At 38.4% G+C, this 18,430-nt stretch overlaps 1 long non-coding RNA gene across 1 annotated transcript in view, besides 2 other annotated features; it reads right to left on the bottom strand.

Annotated features, from left to right (window-relative positions):
• The window catches only part of LINC01798 (long intergenic non-protein coding RNA 1798), a 121,559-nt gene that overhangs the window by 39,183 nt on the left and 63,946 nt on the right, over positions 1 to 18,430 (bottom strand). The window lies entirely within an intron of this gene.
• Positions 7,588 to 8,151: an enhancer, noted in NCBI's record as "H3K4me1 hESC enhancer chr2:66875387-66875950 (GRCh37/hg19 assembly coordinates)". NCBI's record gives its function as "activates a minimal SCP1, AML or CMV promoter by ChIP-STARR-seq in naive H9 embryonic stem cells {active_cell/tissue: H9 hESC(naive)}" and the evidence as "EXISTENCE:reporter gene assay evidence [ECO:0000049][PMID:30033119]".
• Positions 8,152 to 8,716: an enhancer, noted in NCBI's record as "H3K4me1 hESC enhancer chr2:66874822-66875386 (GRCh37/hg19 assembly coordinates)". NCBI's record gives its function as "activates a minimal SCP1, AML or CMV promoter by ChIP-STARR-seq in naive H9 embryonic stem cells {active_cell/tissue: H9 hESC(naive)}" and the evidence as "EXISTENCE:reporter gene assay evidence [ECO:0000049][PMID:30033119]".

The following is an 18,430-nucleotide window of genomic DNA, read 5'->3' as shown; positions in this document are numbered from 1 at the left end:
CTCAATGGCCTTGTTCATTTTCAGGTGCAAGTTACAGAGAGTGAACAGTTTATCTAAGTAATAATAACATGTTGGATAACCCCCAAGATCAAGCTCAGGATGTACTGATACAAAATCAAAAGAAAGATAAACAAGGAGTTACACTCAGGAAATCTTGGCAAAGGTGAAAAGAAGTTGTTATACCATGTCAGCATCCTTTTATAAGACCCAACACCCAAATTTTAGTATTTTCCGCAGACACTTCAATAGTCTTTCTTCATTTTACTCATCCAACAAATATTTATACAGTGTCCATTATATGGGACATGAGCCTTTTGAGTTGCTGTATGTACTGGGGTGAATGCATTGGTGCACCATTCTGACCTCTCCCCACATCCACTTCTCCATACTCCGTCTCTTCCCCTTCATACAACTTCTGTGATCTCAGTGCAGTTAGCTTCAACCATCCGCTAGAAAGAAAAGGACTTGGATTCACCAATATCCCACTATTGTCAAAAAAATTAATAGTCTATTAACATGGCATTCTCCTCAAAACACACACAAACACACACATACACATTTGCATTTTTTAAATGTTAATGCTTGTTAGCTTAAATGCATCTTTAATTGTCAAATTTCAGATAAGAAAGTGAAGTCAAATTAAAGGTTTGGGTAGTAGCAGTAGGAAATTGGCAAACAGGGGAATATCCAGGGGTTGGCTCCTGGAAACAGTTTCTCAAATTTGCTTTACCCTGTTTCTGTCTTTAATCTTTATCTGACTCTACCATTTTAAAAAATTCACAAGGATTTGATGTAAGAGATGAGGGTGGGAATGAAGGTGAAGACGTTCAACCCTGTGTAAGATGGAGGGGCAACAATGAATGTTTGTGTAGACATCATTTTCAGAGTGGAGATTTTTAAACCTGGAGATTATCCAAAATAGAAATGTTTTAAACTTCAATTTCCTAGGAACTTTTTGGGGACTGATTAGTGAGCAAAGAATTTAACACCTCTTATTATGGAATGAATGTTTGTGCATCCCTAAATTCATTGGTTGAAACCCTAAACCCCAGTGTGACAGTGTTTGAAGATGGGATTTGGGGAGATCATTGGGATTAGATGAAATAATGAGAGGAGCACTCATGATGGGATTAGTGCCCTTATAAGAAAGGACACTGGAGAGCTAATGTGCTGCCTGCTCCTCCCCACGCCTCTCTCCACCTTTCTCTCCGTGTGCTCATACAAAGAAGTCATGTGAGCACACATTCAGTTGGTGGCTGCCTACAAGCCACGAGAAGAAGCCTCAGAATGAAGCCCACTTTGCTGGAACCTTGATCTTAAAATTCTCTATCTCTAGGACTGTAAGAAATAAGCCCAGTCTATGGCATTTTGTAGTGCATTGCTAGTTAATTGATACATTCCTGTTCTATATTCCCAAATCAGACGTAATAATTTGCTATAATTCCTCATATTATTTACCTTCTCCCTTATTATCTCCTTGGCCAAATCTCTCTCTCTCTCTCATCACACATACACACACACACACACACAGACTAAGAAAATAACTACTCAAATACAATTGGCAAAATTAAACATATCTTTAAAATATGCTTTGCATACTATATACAGCTTGAATTGAAAATGAAATAGATCAGCCTAAGAAGAATGTTTTTCTGGTTGCTTTCAGTCATCTTTTATGATGAGTCCTTATAAAGCTCATGTGAATAAGGATGTACGATAAGCACATACACACACACACCATCTTCTTCTCTGATTTAGGATTTACTGAAACTACTGAAGTTCTCTCCAATATTTTGGTTGATTCAGTGGGGTTTGTTTTTCCTGCAGGGCTTCAAGCGTGGTGCTGACTGTCTCACAGTGAGAACCCCATCGAGCAGTTGCCATGAGAGCTTAGCTGAGTTGAGCAGCCTGGGGAGTAAGTTCATAAACTGAGGAATTCATTTATCTTCCACAGTAACACCCCCTCCAAAACCAACTACAAACTACTTAACCCATCAAAACTGAGAGCTGCCAAAGCCACTTTCCTCCTGGGACTGTAAATGCCTTCACAGTCAAAGTCACAAAGCTTTTCAAGCTGGTGCACTGGTGATTGGTTTAAACTGCTAAAACTCTGATTATCTTTAGATTCCAATTTCTCATTTAAAATCACTAGTCATTCTAGATACATGATGATTAAAAAAATTGAAACTGAAGATAAAAAATAAATGAGGAGTCACATTACCATCTTGTTCATGTCTCAGGAGCTTCAGACTTACGGCAGTAACATTGCCATCTACCTTCTATTTCCACAGGCTCTCAGAGTGGATATTAAGTTTTATAATCAAAACAAATGTTTTACTTGAACAGGAATCCAGGGGTTTAACAAACTCTAGAAATGCTAATGTGAATGACCTGCTACATTAACGTAGGTAAGAATTCCTCTGCCTTTATTGCCATTCTGAAGCATGCTAAACAACATGAAGAAGGTTGGAATAATGCATTTTTTACTTCTCTCGCCATGTGTTTGGAGTCTTAAATCACTGGTGATTGGTTTTCATTCATTCATTTGTTGACATCTTTATTCAGTCAGTCATAAACATTTACTGTTAGCTAAGATACAGGTGCAAAAGTATTGATTACAAAGTGTTTAATAATATCAAAATCTAGAAAGAAACTAAATATTACTCTATACAGAGTGAATGAAGTAAATCACAGTCCATCCTAGCCTGTAGCAGCTAAAAGATATGAGGTAAAATTATATGTCTTTTCATGGAGAAATGTGATTGTTATATGACTGGGGGCCCAGGAAGGAACAGATTTTAGAATGACATTTCTAGTGTGATTTTTAAATTAAATTGTGTATGTGTGGATATGTATATTCCTATAAGAGTCTAGAAAATATATGCTACCTTGTTAACGGTGATCATCTCTGGGGTATTACTGAGTGAAATGGTTTTGTATCATTTGATTTTCTTACAACAGATAATCTATCTCTTTACTACAGAGTTGCATTTACTTGTTATGTGAGCCCATGAAAGAATTATACCAGGACCCCTTGTGGTTGGGTGGCACCATGTGATTGGTTCTGTCTAAAGAGTTATGAGCAAAAATGGCATGTGTCACTTCCAGGCTGGAATGTTTAATTGCTGGTGCAGGATCCTCCTGAGCTCTTTTCTTTTGACACAAACCCTTGAGATGGTGGCTCAAGTTTGAGATAGCGGCTGCTCCATCAGCCTAGATTCGGAAATGAGATGTGGATCGGAGCTCTCAGCCAATCCCCAGTGGACACTTAATTAGAGCAAAAAATTAACTCTTATTATTCTAAACTTTTAAGATTTGGAGAGTTTGTTCATGAAGAATGACCTTGCCTATCCTTACTAGTACAAGTAAGAATATATTAATTTTATGTTTAAAATAAAGATGTTGCTTTTCTAAAAAACAGTATGTGTGAGCCTGTTAATTTTATTCTGATGAGTGAGCCCTCCAACTTTGCTGTTTTTCAGGGTTGTTCTAGGTGTTCTGGGTTCCTTGAATTTCCATAGGTATTTTAACATGAGTTATCAACTTTTACCAAAAAAAAAAGGTAGCTGGAATTTAATAGGAATTGTGTGAATCTGTAGATCAATTTGGGAGAGTATTATCACCTCAGCAATATTATCAGGAGCAGAAAAGATAACTATTGGGCACTGGGCGTAATTCATGGGTAATGAAATAATCTGTATAACAAACCCCGTGACATGAATTTACCTATGTAACAAACTTTCACATGTACCCCTGAACCTAAAATACAAGTTAAGAAAGCAAAAAACAAACAAACAAACAAAAAAACCCAATACCGACTTCCAATCTATGAACATGGAATATCTTTCCATTTATTTAGATCTTCTTTAATATCTTTCAATAATGTTTTATTGTTTTCAGTGTATACATCTTATACTTTTTAAATGTATTCCCAAGCATTTTATTCTTTTAATTCTATTATAAATTGAATTGTTTTCTTAACTTCACTTGGGCTTGTTCATTGCTAGTACATATAAATAAAATTGATTTCATATATTGAGCTTGTACCTTGCAACTTTGCTGAATTCATTTATATTAGATTTAATCATTTTGTGTGAGTTCCTTAAAATTTTTTTATACATAAGACCATATCATATGTGAATAAAAATAATTTTACTTTTTCCCTTCCTGTCTGGATGCCTTTATCTTGTTTTCTTGCTTAATTGCTCTGGCTAGCGAACCTCCAGTACAAATGTTGAACGAAACTGATGAGAGAGTGGACATTCTCATATTGTTCTTAATCTTAGGAGGAAATCACCATTATATATGATCATAGTGATGGATTTTTTTGTAGATGCCCTTTATTAGGTTGAGGAAGTTGACTTGCCTTCGTTTGTTCAGTGTTTTCATCATAATAAAGTGTTGGATGTTGTCAATTTTTTTTTCTGCATCTATTGAGATAATCATGTGGTTTTTGTCCTTTATTCTATTGATGTGGTGTGTAACATTGATTGATTTTTGAATGTTAAAAGAAGTATTTCACCCTTAGAAAGAATTCATAGATATGGCTACAGAAAGTTAATTGGAAATTCATCACTTCATGCCATCCTCTACCTCTTGGTGCATCTTCATGTGTTAATCAGGATAGACTAGATTATGCTTCTGTGACATATGACTCCAAAATCTCAGTGGTTTAACACACACAAATTTCTCACAATATAAAGATTGCTTTAGGTCAGACTCAACAGTGTAGTGCTTCATCATCCATATAGTAACTCAGAGATCCAGGCTGCTGTGATCTTGTGGGTTTGCTATCTCAACACATTGCTCTTACACTCACTACCTGAGGAAAATCAAGAAACTGAAAAGTCACACAGCAGCTTTTTACTGCCTCAGCCCAGAAGTGACACATGCCACTTATTCTCAAATTTCATTGCCCATAATTAATCACACACTCTTGCTTTACTGCAAGGGAACTGGAAAATAAAATTTTTATTGTGCCCAGGAGGGAGGAATACAAAACAGAATTTGGAAACCCATAGAATTTTCTCTGCCACAGACATAGAAATATTATGTTCCTTATCTGTTGTTATGGGTTGAATTATAGCCTCCCAAAAGACATGTTGAAGTCCTAACCCCCAGTACCCCAGAATGTGACGTTTTTGGAAATAGAGTTTTTATAGTTGTAATTAGTTAAGATGAGGTCATATTGGAGTTGGGTGAGTCCTTAATCCAATATCACTGGTGTCCCTACAAAAAGGGAAAAACACCATGTGAAGACAGAGGTACACAAGGAGACCATCCTGTGATGACAGAAGCAAAGACTGGGATGATACACCTGCATGCCAAGAAACACCAAGGAATTACGCCACCATCAGAAACTAGAAGGAGGAAAGGAGGGATTCCACCAGTCTTAGAAGGTGCATGACTCTGCTGACACCTTGAGTTCAGGCTTCTAGTCCCCAAAACTGTGAGAGAATAAATTTCTGTTGTGTTAAGCCACCTGGTTTGTGGTAACCTGTGATCACAAGTCTAGGAAACAAGTACACCAGTCAAAAATATTGTTATGACTATTGTACTCAATCTAAGATGTCATCAATGGAAAGACATGAATTATTTAATGGACCTCTAAGAAAGGAAAAAGGCTGCCAATTAAGTAATGACACCCTACCTTAATGATAATCCTGCATGACACGTAAATTGGTCACATCATCCTCTCATTGCTGTGCAGCATCTTTCCTCGATACCAAGAGATTTGGCAAGTTTTTGTGTCTTCAGGTGTGTGGTTTGGCACATGAAAGGCAATCATTTTGCACATTTCTCACTAACAACACACAATTCAGCCATAGATGCGTGTGGATTTAGTACCTTTTTTGATACCATGAAGTACGTTGTTGTTCTTATGCAAGAAAATATAGAATCCTATTCCTTCTCCCAAAATCGCTTTCCTAATGTCAGATATATGCCCCACTGCTCTCTGCTTGCCTTTCTGCATCTACAGTAACTTCTCATCTCAGAACTATGTTATACTATAAATTCTGAAAGAAAGAGACTTTAAATGACAACTAAACTCTCAACACATAACAACAATGCAAATAATTCAATAAAAATACTGATGCCGTGAATAGCTATGACCAAATTCATGCTTGTGCAGGTAATAACTACATCACAACTGCCACGGGGCCAACAGCTGTTGTAAGTCACTATCAATATAAGACATATTCCAAATTCAGAGTGTGAAGAGATGGGCTTTTTAAAACCAATAACCTATAGTGATGCAATAACAACAGCAACAATTAAATCAGGCCACTCAGTCTCGACCAAGCATACGACTTTGTCTTGGGATAGTAGTTCTCCAAGTGTGGTATGGAGATTCCTGGGGTATTCCTGAGACATTCTCAGGAAGTCTATGAATTCAAAACTATTTTCCCCAAAATACTAAAGTGTTCTTTCCATTTTCGTTTCTGTTCTCTCATTATAGTACATAAGAGTTTTCCAGAGACTACATGATACAAAAAAACAAATCCAGAAACAGATATGAGAATCTGTCATCTATTCAGCTGAACATTTTGCCACTGTTCTCATTATTTTTTTGTTTTGAAAAATGTTTTCACAAAAAAAATTATCAAAATGTAAAATGGGATTTAGATAAGTGAATAAGTAGTTTTTTCTCAGTTCCAGTTTCTAATATGGTAAATATCAATGGGTATAATAACAAAATGAAAATTCTCAATAATTTAAAAAAGTTGTATAAGGATATGAGATCAAAAAGTTTGAGAATCACTGTTTTAGTGAAACCACCTTTGGCTTTAAAGATACATGTCTTGGTTCACTGAACAAATCCTGCAGTTAGGATTGGATCAACACAGAAACAAACTCAAACATTGAGAGGATGAGAGTACCCTTCTCTGACATATGTAACTCAAAAACAAAAAATGCCCATAAAATGAAATTTGGTATTTCAGTAAAAGATATGTTTACTGCTTTAAAATAATTCCTTTGAGTGTGTGTGTGTGTGTCTGTGTGTGTGTGTCTGTGTCTCTGTGTGTGTGTGTCTGCCTGTCCTTCCTTTCCTGTTTCTGTCCTTTGATGCCTCAAGCATGTGGTTGTTTGGGCTTCATCCTCAGCTCTACGCTAACTTGGCTTTCCACAGCATGCAACTAAAACAGAGACTCTGGAATTCCTCTACATCGTCTTTTTCACAATCAACCTACGAGACTCTTTCATGAGTTCCTCCCCTTTCATGACTGCCTTCAAATAAGACACTTTTTTCTTCCCATGGTTAAGGCAAGGAGCCAGAAAATGTATCACAGCCTTCTACTTTATCTCACAGAATTGTATTAGCACGTACTTTCTTTAGTGCTTTGCATTGACACATTATAGGCTTAACATTTTCCTTGCAATTAGCAAAACTATAATTGGTGGACTGTTTAGTATAAAGTAGAAAAGGGTGGGTTAGGTTTGTCCTAGGATGCTTCCCACTGGCTCATCACTTCTTGCTCTTCCCCCAAAGTGGTATCCCATTGAGTAAGTATGAGAACAAATTAAATCCTGCTGTAGTATTTATTAATTGATAGCAGCTTTGCGGTGGGTCCACTGAAATATAAATAATTAACAGACTATTCATATTTTGAGAAGTGACTCTTAAAAAAAAAAAAAGGTCATTAAGAACCAAATAAATTGGGGGGTGGAGCCAAGATGGCCTAATAGGAACAGCTCCAGTCTACAGCTCCCAGCATGAGCGACACAGAAGATGGGTGATTTCTGCATTTCCAACTGAGGTACCAGGTTCATCTCACTGGGGAGTGTCGGAAAGTGGGTGCAGGACAGTGGGTGCAGCGCACCCAGCGTGAGCTAGGGCAGGGCGAGGCATCACCTCCCCTGGGAAGTGCAAGGGGTCAGGGAATTCCCTTTCCTAGTCAAAGAAAGGGGTGACAGATGGCACCTGGAAAATCCGGTCACTCCCACCCTAATACTGCGCTTTTCCAATGCTCTTAGCAAACGGCACACCAGGCGATTACAACCGTGCCTGGCTCAGAGGGTCCTATGCCCATGGAGCATCGCTCATTGCTAGCACAGCAGTCTGAGATCAAACTGCAAGGCGGCAGCAAGGCTGGGGGAGGGGTGCCCGCCATTGCCGAGGCTTGAGTAGGTAAACAGAGCTGCTGGGAAGCTGAAACTGGGTGGAGCCCACCGCAGCTCAAGGAGGCCTGCCTGCCTCTGTAGACTCCACTTCTGGGGGCAGGGCACAGCCAAACAAAAGGCAGCAGAATCCTCTGCAGACTTAAATGTCCCCGTCTGACAGCTTTGAGGAGAGCAGTGGTTCTTTCAGCACGCAGCTGGAGATCTGAGAAGGGACAGACTGCCTCCTCAAGTGGGTCCCTGGCCTCCGAGTAGCCTAACTCGGAGGCACCCCCCAGTAGGGGCAGACTGACACCTCACACGGCTGGGTACTCCTCTGAGACAAAACTTCCAGAGGAACAATCAGGCAGCAACATTTGCTGTTCACCAAAATCCTCTGTTCTGCAGCCTCCGCTGCTGATACCCAGGCAAACAGGGTCAGGAGTGGACCTCCAGCAAACTCCAACAGACCTGCAGCTGAGGCTCCTGACTGTTGGAAGGAAAACTAACAAACAGAAAGGACATCCACACCAAAACCCCATCTGTACGTCACCATCATCAAAGACCAAAGGTAGATAAAACCACAAAGATGGGGAAAAAAAAGAGCAGAAAAACTGGAAACTCTAAAAATCAGAGCACCTCTCCTCCTCCAAAGGAACACAGCTCCTCACCAGCAACGGAACAAAGCTAGACAGAGAATGACTATGACGAGTTGAGAGAAGGCTTCAGACAATCGAACTACTCCGAGCTAAAGGAGGAAGTCCTAACCCATGGCAAAGAAGTTAAAAACCTTGAAAAAAAATTAGATGAATGGCTAACTAGAATAACCAATGCAGAGAATTCCTTAAAGGACCTGATGGAGCTGAAAACCAAGGCACGAGAACTACGTGACTAATGCACAAGCCTCAGTAGCCGAATCGATCAACTGGAAGAAAGAGTATCAGTGATGGAAGATCAAATGAATGAAATGAAGTGAAAAGAGAAGTTTAGAGAAAAAAGAATAAAAAGAAATGAACAAAGCCTCCAAGAAATATGGGACTATGTGAAAAGACCAAATCTACGTCTGATTGGTGTACCTGAAAGTGACAGGGAGAATGGAACCAAGTTGGAAAACACTCTGCAGGATATTATCCAGGAGAAATTCCCCAATCTAGCAAGGCACGCCAACATTCAGATTCAGGAAATACAGAGAACGCCACAAAGATACTCCTCGAGAAGAGCAACTCCAAGACACATAATTGTCTTGAAATGAAGGAAAAAATGTTAAGGGCAGCCAGAGAGAAAGGTCGGGTTACCCACAAAGGGAAGCCCATCAGACTAACAGCGGATTTCGCAGCAGAAACTCTACAAGTCAGAAGAGAGTGAGGGCCAATATTCAACATTCTTAAAGAAAAGAATTTTCAACCCAGAATTTCATATCCAGCCAAACTAAGCTTCATAAGTGAAGGAGAAATAAAATACTTTACAGACAAGCAAATGCTGAGAGATTTTGTCACCACCAGACCTGCCCTAAAAGAGCTTCTGAAGGAAGCACTAAACATGGAAAGGAACAACCAATACCAGCCACTGTAAAAACATGCCAAATTGTAAAGACCATCGAGGCTAGGAAGACACTGCATCAACTAACAAGCAAAATGACCAGCTAACATCATAACGACAGGATCAAATTCACACATAACAATATCAACCTTAAATGTAAATGGGCTAAATGCTCCAATTAAAAGACACAGACTGGCAAATTGGATAAAGAGTCAAGACCCATCAGTGTGCTGTATTCAGGAAACCCATCCCACCTGCAGAGACACACATAGGCTCAAAATAAAGGGATGGAGGAAGATCTACCAAGAAAATGGAAAACAAAAAAAGGCAAGGGTTGCAATCCTAGTCTCTGATAAAACAGACTTTAAACCAACAAAGATCAAAAGAGACAAAAAAGGCCATTACATAATGGTAAGGGATCAATTCAACAAGAAGAGCTAACTATCCTAAATATATATGCACTCAATACAGGAGCACCCAGATTCATAAAGCAAGTCCTGAGTGACCTACAAAGAGACTTAGACTCCCACACAATAAAAATGGGAGACTTTAACACCCCACTGTCAACATTAGACAGATCAACAAGACAGAAAGCTAACAAGGACACCCAGGAATTGAACTCAGCTCTGCACCAAGCAGACCTAATAGACATCTACAGAACTCTCCACCCCAAATCAACAGAATATACATTCTTTTCAGCACCACACCACACCTATTCCAAAATTGACCACATAGTTGGAAGTAAAGCACTCCTCAGCAAATGTGAAAGACCAGAAATTATAACAAACTGTCTCTCAGACCACAGTGCAATCAAACTAGAACTCAGGATTAAGAAACTCACACAAACCACTCAACTACATGGAAACTGAACAACCTGCTCCTCAATGACTACTGGGTACATAATGAAATGAAGGCAGAAATAAAGATGTTCTTTGAAACCAATGAGAACAAAGACACAACATACCAGAATCTCTGGGACACATTCAAAGCAGTGTGTAGAGGGAAATTTATAGCACTAAATGTCCACAAGAGAAAGCAGGAAAGATCTAAAATTGACACCCTAACATCACAATTAAAAGAACTGGAGAAGCAAGAGCAAACACATTCAAAAGCTAGCAGAAGGCAAGAAATAACTAAGATCAGAGCAGAAGTGAAGGATATAGAGACACGAAAAACCCTTCAAAAAATCAGTGAATCCAGGAGCTGCTTTTTTGAAAAGATCAACAAAATTGATAGGCCACTAGGAAGACTAATAAGGAAAGAGAGAAGAATCAAATAGACGCAATAAAAAATGATAAAGAGGATATCACCACTGATCCCACAGAAATACGAACTACCATCAGAGAATACTACAAGCACCTCTATGCAAATAAACTGGAAAATCTAGAAGAAATGGATAAATTCCTTGACACATACACCCTCCCAAGACTAAACCAGGAAGAAGTTGAATCTCTGCATAGACCAATAACAGGCTCTGAAATTGAGGCAATAATTAATAGCTTACCAACCAAAAAAAGTCCAGGACCAGATGGATTCACAGCCGAATTCTACCAGAGGTACAAGGAGGAGCTGGTACCATTCCTTCTGAAACTATTCCAATCAATAGAAAAAGAGGGAATCCTCCCTAACTCATTTTATGAGGCCAGCATCATCCTGATACAAAAGCCTGGCAGAGACACAACAAAAAAGAGAATTTTAGACCAATATCCTTGATGAACATCAATACAAAAATCCTCAATAAAATACTGGCAAACCAAATCCAGCAGCACATCAAAAACCTTTTTCACCATGGTCAAGTGGGCTTCATCCCTTGGATGCAAGGCTGGCTCAACATACGCAAATCAATAAACGTAATCCAACATATAAACAGAACCAAGGACAAAAACCACATGATTATTTCAATAGATGCAGAAAAGGCCTTTGACAAAATTCAACAACCTTCATGCTAAAAACTCCCAATAAATTAGGTATTGATGGGACATATCTCAAAATAATAAGAGCAATCTATGACAAACCCACAGCCAATATCATACTGAATGGGCAAAAACTGGAAGCTTTCCCTGTGAAAACTGGCACAAGACAGGGATGCCCTCTCTCACCACTCCTATTCCACATAGTGTTGGAAGTTCTTACCAGGACAATCAGGCAGGAGAAGGAAATAAAGGGCATTCAATTAGGAAAAGAGGAAGTCAAATTGTCCCTGTTTGCAGATGACATGATTATATATCTAGAAAACCCCATCATCTCAGCCCAAAATCTCCTTAAGCTGATAAGCAACTTCAGCAAAGTCTCAGGATACAAAATCAACGTGCAAAAATCACAAGCATTCTTATACACCAATAACAGACAAACAGAGAGCCAAACATGAGTGAACTCCCATTCACAATTGCTTCAAAGAGAATAAAATACCTAGGAATCCAACTTACAAGGAACATGAAGGACCTCTTCAAGGAGAACTACAAACCACTTCTCAAGGAAATAAAAGAGGATACAAACAAATGGAAGAACATTCCATGCTCATGGGTAGGAAGAATCAATATCATGAAAATGGCCATACTGCCCAAGGTAATTTATAGATTCACCATCCCCATCAAGTTACCAATGACTTTCTTCACAGAATTGGAAAAAACTACTTCAAAGTTCATATGGAACCAAAAAAGAGCCCGTATTGCCAAGTCAATCCTAAGCCGAAAGAACAAAGCTGGAGGCATCACGCTACCTGACTTCAAACTATACTACAAGGCTACAGTAACCAAAACAGCATGGTACTGGTACCAAAACAGAGATATAGACCAATGGAACAGAGCCCTCAGAAATAATGCCACATATCTACAACTATCCGATCTTTGTCAAATGTGACAAAAACAAGCAATGGGGAAAGGATTCCCTATTTAATAAATGGTGCTGGGAAAACTGGCTAGCCATATGTAGAAAGCTGAAACTGGATCCCTTCCTTACACCTTATACAAAAATTAATTAAGATGGATTAAAGACTTAAATGTTAGACCTAAAACCATAAAAACCCTAGAAGAAAACCCAGGCAATACCATTCAGGACATAGGCATGGGCAAGGACTTCATGTCTAAAACACCAAAAGCAATGGCAACAAAAGCCAAAATTGACAATTGGGATCTAATTAAACTAAAGAGCTTCTGCACAGCAAAAGAAACTACCATCAGAGTGAACAGGCAACCTACAAAATGGGAGAAAATTTTTGCAATCTACTCATCTGACAAAGGGCTAACTCAAACAAATTTACAAGAAAAAAACAACCCCATCAAAAAGTGGGCAAAGGATATGAACAGGCACTTCTCAAAAGAAGATATTTATGCAGCCAAAAGATACATGAAAAAATGCTCATCATCACTGGCCATCAGAGAAATGCAAATCAAAACCACAATGAGATACCATCTCACACCAGTTAGAATGGTGATCATTAAAAAGTCAGGAAACAACAGGTGCTGGAGAGGATGTGGAGAAATAGGAACACTTTTACACTGTTGGTGGGAATGTAAACTAGTTCAACCCTTGTGGAAGTCAGTGTGGCGATTCCTCAAGGATCTAGAACTAGAAATACCATTTGACCCAGCCATCCCATTTCTGGGTATATACCCAAAGGATTATAAATCATGCTGCTATAAAGACACATGCACATGTATGTTTATTGTGGCACTATTCACAATAGCAAAGACTTGGAACCAACCCAAATGTCCAACAATGATAGACTGGATTAAGAAAATGTGGCACATATACACCATGGAATACTATGCAGCCATAAAAAATGATGAGTTCATGTCCTTTGTAGGGACATGGATGAAGCTGGAAACCATCATTCTCAGCAAACTATCGCAAGGACAAAAAACCAAACACCACATGTTCTCACTCATAGGTGGGAATTGAACAATGAGAACACGTGGATACAGGAGGGTGAACATCACACACCGGGGACTGTTGTGGGGGGGGCGGTGATGGGGGAGGGATAGCATTAGGAGATATACCTAATGCTAAATGACGAGTTAATGGTTGCAGCGTACCAACATGGCACATGTATACATATGTAACTAACCTGCATGTTGTACACATGTACCCTAAAACTTAAAGTATAATTAAAGAAAAAAGAACCAAATAAATTAAGATATCAAAAGGAAAGGTGGCTAGGCCCTGTGGCTCACACCTGTAATCCCAGCATTTTGGGAGGCTGAGGCCGGAGGATCGCTCGAGCCCAGGAGCAACATAGTGAGACTCCATCTCTACCAAAAAAAAAAAAATCAAAAAATTAGCCAGGCATGGTGGCACATGACTGTGATCCCAGCTACTTGAGAGGCTGAGGGGGGAGGATTGCTTAAACCAAGGAGTATGAGGCCTCAGTGAGCCGAAATGGAGCCACTGCACTCCAGCCTAGGCAATTAAGCAAGGCCCTGTCGAAAGACAGAAAGAAAGAAAGTGGAAGGAAGGAAGGAAGGAAGGAAGGAAGGAAGGAAGGAAGGAAGGAAGGAAGGAAGGAAGGAAAGAAGGCAGGCAGGCAGGAAGGAAAGAAGGGAGGGAGCGAGGGAGAACAAGAAGAAGTGTATCCAGCTTAGTGGGTCTTTAAATGTTCAAACCAATGACTAACATTCACTGAGGACTTACTTACCACATGTGTCAAGCACTGTTCTAAGCTCATTGCATCTAATAGCTCATTTACTCTCCACAACTAACCTAGCAGGTGGAAACTATTATTTTCATTTTAGTGATAAGGAAAGTCAGGCAAAGAGAGGTCAAATTACCTCCTGAGAGTCACTCAGTGTAACTCGAAGAGCCTGGATCCAAATCTAGGCAGTAGGACCACAGAGCCATAGTCGCTAGGCTACACTGCCTCTGGAATCATGTCCTTGGTGACTTGGAAAGCTGTGTACACTACCCTCCAGTCAGTCACTTATTAATAGTAACTGGCGCGGTTATCAAATGGACTCTTGCAGCAACCCAGTGCTGTGTTCAAGTAACCCTTCTTTTACTTAATAATGGCTCCAAATGGCAAGAGTAACGATGCTAGCCATTCGAATACACCAAAAAGAAGGTATAAACTACTTCCTTTAGGTGAAAAGATGAAAGTTCTGGACTTAAGAAAGAAAGAAAAAAAATCCTATGCTGAGGATGCTAAGATCTACAGTAAGAATAAGTCTTCTATCCATTAAATTGTGAAGAAGGAAAAACAAATTTGTGCCAGTTTTGCTGTTACACCTTAGCTACAAATGTTAAGGCTACAGTGAGTGATAAATAAGATAGAAAAGGCATTAACTTTGTGGAAGAAATGAACAGAAACGTGTTTCCATTAGCAGCAACCAGGTTTGGCACCACCTGCGGTTTCAGAAATCCACTGAGGTTCTTGGAATTTATCCCCACGGATAAGGGAGGATGTCAATATGTTGGTGAATTTTTAATTTGCCTCAGTTTCAGATCCATAATTATATGTATCTAATAAGTCATAATAAAAAATAGCGTTTCTTTTTCTTAATTCATTCTCCTCTTTTTACACAAACGTTTTTTGGACTCATCAATCCTTCACCCCTGAAACCAAAACATGTGGCTCACTCACCCCAAAACATGTTCCCATTTGTTCTCCATCTGGCTGGAATTCCTTTTACAGTTGGGAGTTTGGGCTTCAAAGAAATCCCTGAACATGTCCTCAGTGAATCTACCTACCTCTTCCTGCCGGCTGTATCTTACTCCTTTAATCTTAATCAAGTTTCCTGGCTATCCTCTTTCCTCGATGCTCATCCTGAAAAAAGAAATTGGCCTGAAGTTAAATAGCCCATAAAGGAAGTAGGTAGGCTTCTGAATGCCCGCGATTTCAAAGGACGTGAATGAACCATTGGTTCATGTTGGTTTTCTCCACGGCCCTTTAAAATAGACAGGGTGAAACTTTTGTCCATCACCATTTTGCTGATGGATTGAGAAAGAAGGAACCTGCCACAAACTGAATTAGCACTAAGTAATTTTCCCTTTCTTTATGTAAACAAATGCCTTTCAATATACAACAATTCTTGAGGTGTTCAGGTTACATGCTTATTTTAAGATCTTTGTTTACTTTCTGATCTTCATAGGTCATTGACATCCCATTTAGCACTGGTGACCCTGTTTATACAATTTTGATATAAATTAAAAAGTGTTCTTGGGGATGAGATTAACATTCGCGATTCCAATCTACCACATAAGCAAACAATAGCCTTTGCTCAGTCCTGTATATAATTGTTCAAAAGCTTAAGTGTAGACTCCAATACTCAGAGCAAATCTGATCAAACAGATTTGCTTTCTGACTTTTTATTGAAAGCAGGATGAGATATCAGCCTATGTAAACTCCAATGGAATAACTTATGGGATTTTTGATAGAATGTAGTCATAATAAAACACTGGATAGGGTATTTCAGGTTTTAATTAATGAGAAGAGACAAATCAATAGGGGTATATTTCTACATCTTAACTTGGACTTAAAATGTGTTTCTTTTTCACTTAAAATTCAGAAGGTATTGTTCCTTTTAACCTATTTTATTCTCTAGAAGGAAGGGGGCGAATAATATTTTTGGAATTTGGTTTCTAATTTTTTACATAATTTGTATTAAGCTTCCCTCCTAAACAATGTTAATAATTACTCCTTCATAAATACATATCATTCTTGTGAATAATTGCAAGTATTTAAGAAACTATATTTCTGATAGCTTACTCTGATCCTATTCATACTTCATGAGTGGACAATTCCTTATCCTAATTAGGAAAAACTATCCTAATTGTATTAAAAACTGTCATTCCTAGGCAAAGAAACGAATCTGGGAATACAGATAAGATGAAAAGGCCCATACTGTCTCTTTGTTAGGCATATATCCTAAAGAAATTATTGAACAAATATACAGAAATGTACAAAGGTATTGATTCAGCATGATTTGCAAATGCAAAAAAGATGGAAACAGCTTAAATGTACATCAAGAAGGAGTTGTTTTGAAAAATTAGGATGCATGAAAACAGTGGTATACTTGGCAGTCATTAAAATGATTATGTGGATCATTTATTAATGTGAATAGATGACCATGATATATTAAACTCATTATCCAATTATTAATCACCTAGTAATAAGTAAATAAAGATTGTTTGAGTATGCCTCTGTGTGTGTGTGTGTGTGTGTGTGTGTGTGTATAAAGAACACTGTATACCAAAGTGTGTTCTAAGGAAAACTAATCTATTGAAATAAAGCTTCTCTCATCAAATAAGTTTGGGAAACTCTACATTTTACCTCCCTTCTGTGAATATCATAGTACACATCAGCATATTAAAGGCTCTGAGAAGTCCTGTAATAAAAGAAAACCTGTTTATGTGCATTTAACCCCCAATTTCCTAAACCTATTTTAGCATAAATACCTTCTTTTTTTTTTTTTTTTTTTTTTTTTTTTTTTCAGATGGAGCCTCGCTCTGTCACCTAGGCTGGAGTGCAGTGGCTCGATCTCTTCTCACTGCAACCTCCACCTCCCGGGCACAAGTGATTCTCCTGCCCCAGCCTCCCAAGTTGCTGGGATTACAGGCTCCCGCCACCACACACAGCTAATTTTTTTATTTTTAGTAGAGACAGGGTTTCACCATGTTGGCCAGGCTGGTCTTGAACTCCTGACCTTAGGTGATCTGCCCACCTCTGCTTTCCAAAATGCTCAGATTACAGGCACGCACCACCGCGCCTGGCTTATAAATACCTTCTTTCAAGTGCCCTGTAAAACAAGCTTCAGCAACTTTTGGCAGTAGTACGAAAGACGATATCTTTTTAATGTATGTTTTCTGAATTATTTTGCAGTAAATATGCATTGCTTTTAAGATTTAAAAAATGAGCTAGATAAAACTATTTTTAAAATTATTTTGAGAAAAAAGCACATTGACAAGATGTAGTCAGAGATATTTAAGTACATTGCTATACAAAAGGGCAACTTATGAAACACATGTGATGTGATGGATCCTCTTTTTGTAAAAACAAAAAATATATAAGTTAAGGAAAAAAGAAGGCATGAATTCAAGTTTTACCATTTATATCTCTAGGTCATCAATGATAGGTAATTCTTACTGTTTTACTTTGTTTTCAAAGTGCTCTTTATTAAGTACTTTTGCAATTGGAAAATTAACAATAAATTTTTGTATGAAGGAGCACACATGTATTTTAAGAGAGAAAAAGAAATGGAGCAAAGAAAAATATGCCCCATAGTCTCCATTCAAACATATTTGCAGTTGCTTCTATTTATTTGTTAATACAAGACTTTATCTTCCTCAGGTTAAATCTATTATAAAATTTTTAAACCCCATGAGGTGTTTCTCTGAATGTTTCTTCTCTCTTTCCTGACTATGCTCTTCTTGCTCTCTTCCAGCTCTTGGTTCCATTATGTGAGGAATAAAGGACGACTTTTCAGAATATCCCAGCATACCACCCACAAAGATAATACTGTAGAAGTTACAGGTACTTGGGAGGGAAACTCCCATTATCAAATCACATAGTGTTGCACTGGTCTGAGAAATTAGCAGCAAAGCATCCATGGATATCTTGAAAAACAAAAATTATAAATCCTGTTGATAATATTGTCTACTTTGTTGTTTTCATATATTCACTTTGTTACGTTTGGCAAAATTTCAGCCCCTTAGTTTTACTGATAAACTTAGTTTATTACTAAAAATAAGCTTGATTATTTGAAAATATTCTTTTTGGAAATGTAATTTTTGTCCAAATTACATTTCTAAGGAAGTGTATAAGTGTATTTTTACAAGATATGAATATAGAGTAATGAGA

The sequence above is a fragment of the Homo sapiens genome, chromosome 2, assembly GCF_000001405.40.
Source record: "Homo sapiens chromosome 2, GRCh38.p14 Primary Assembly".
Classification (NCBI taxonomy): Eukaryota; Metazoa; Chordata; class Mammalia; order Primates; family Hominidae; genus Homo; species Homo sapiens.
The sequence above is the reverse complement of the archived record's forward strand: the minus strand, read 5'-3'. Positions and strand labels throughout refer to the sequence as shown.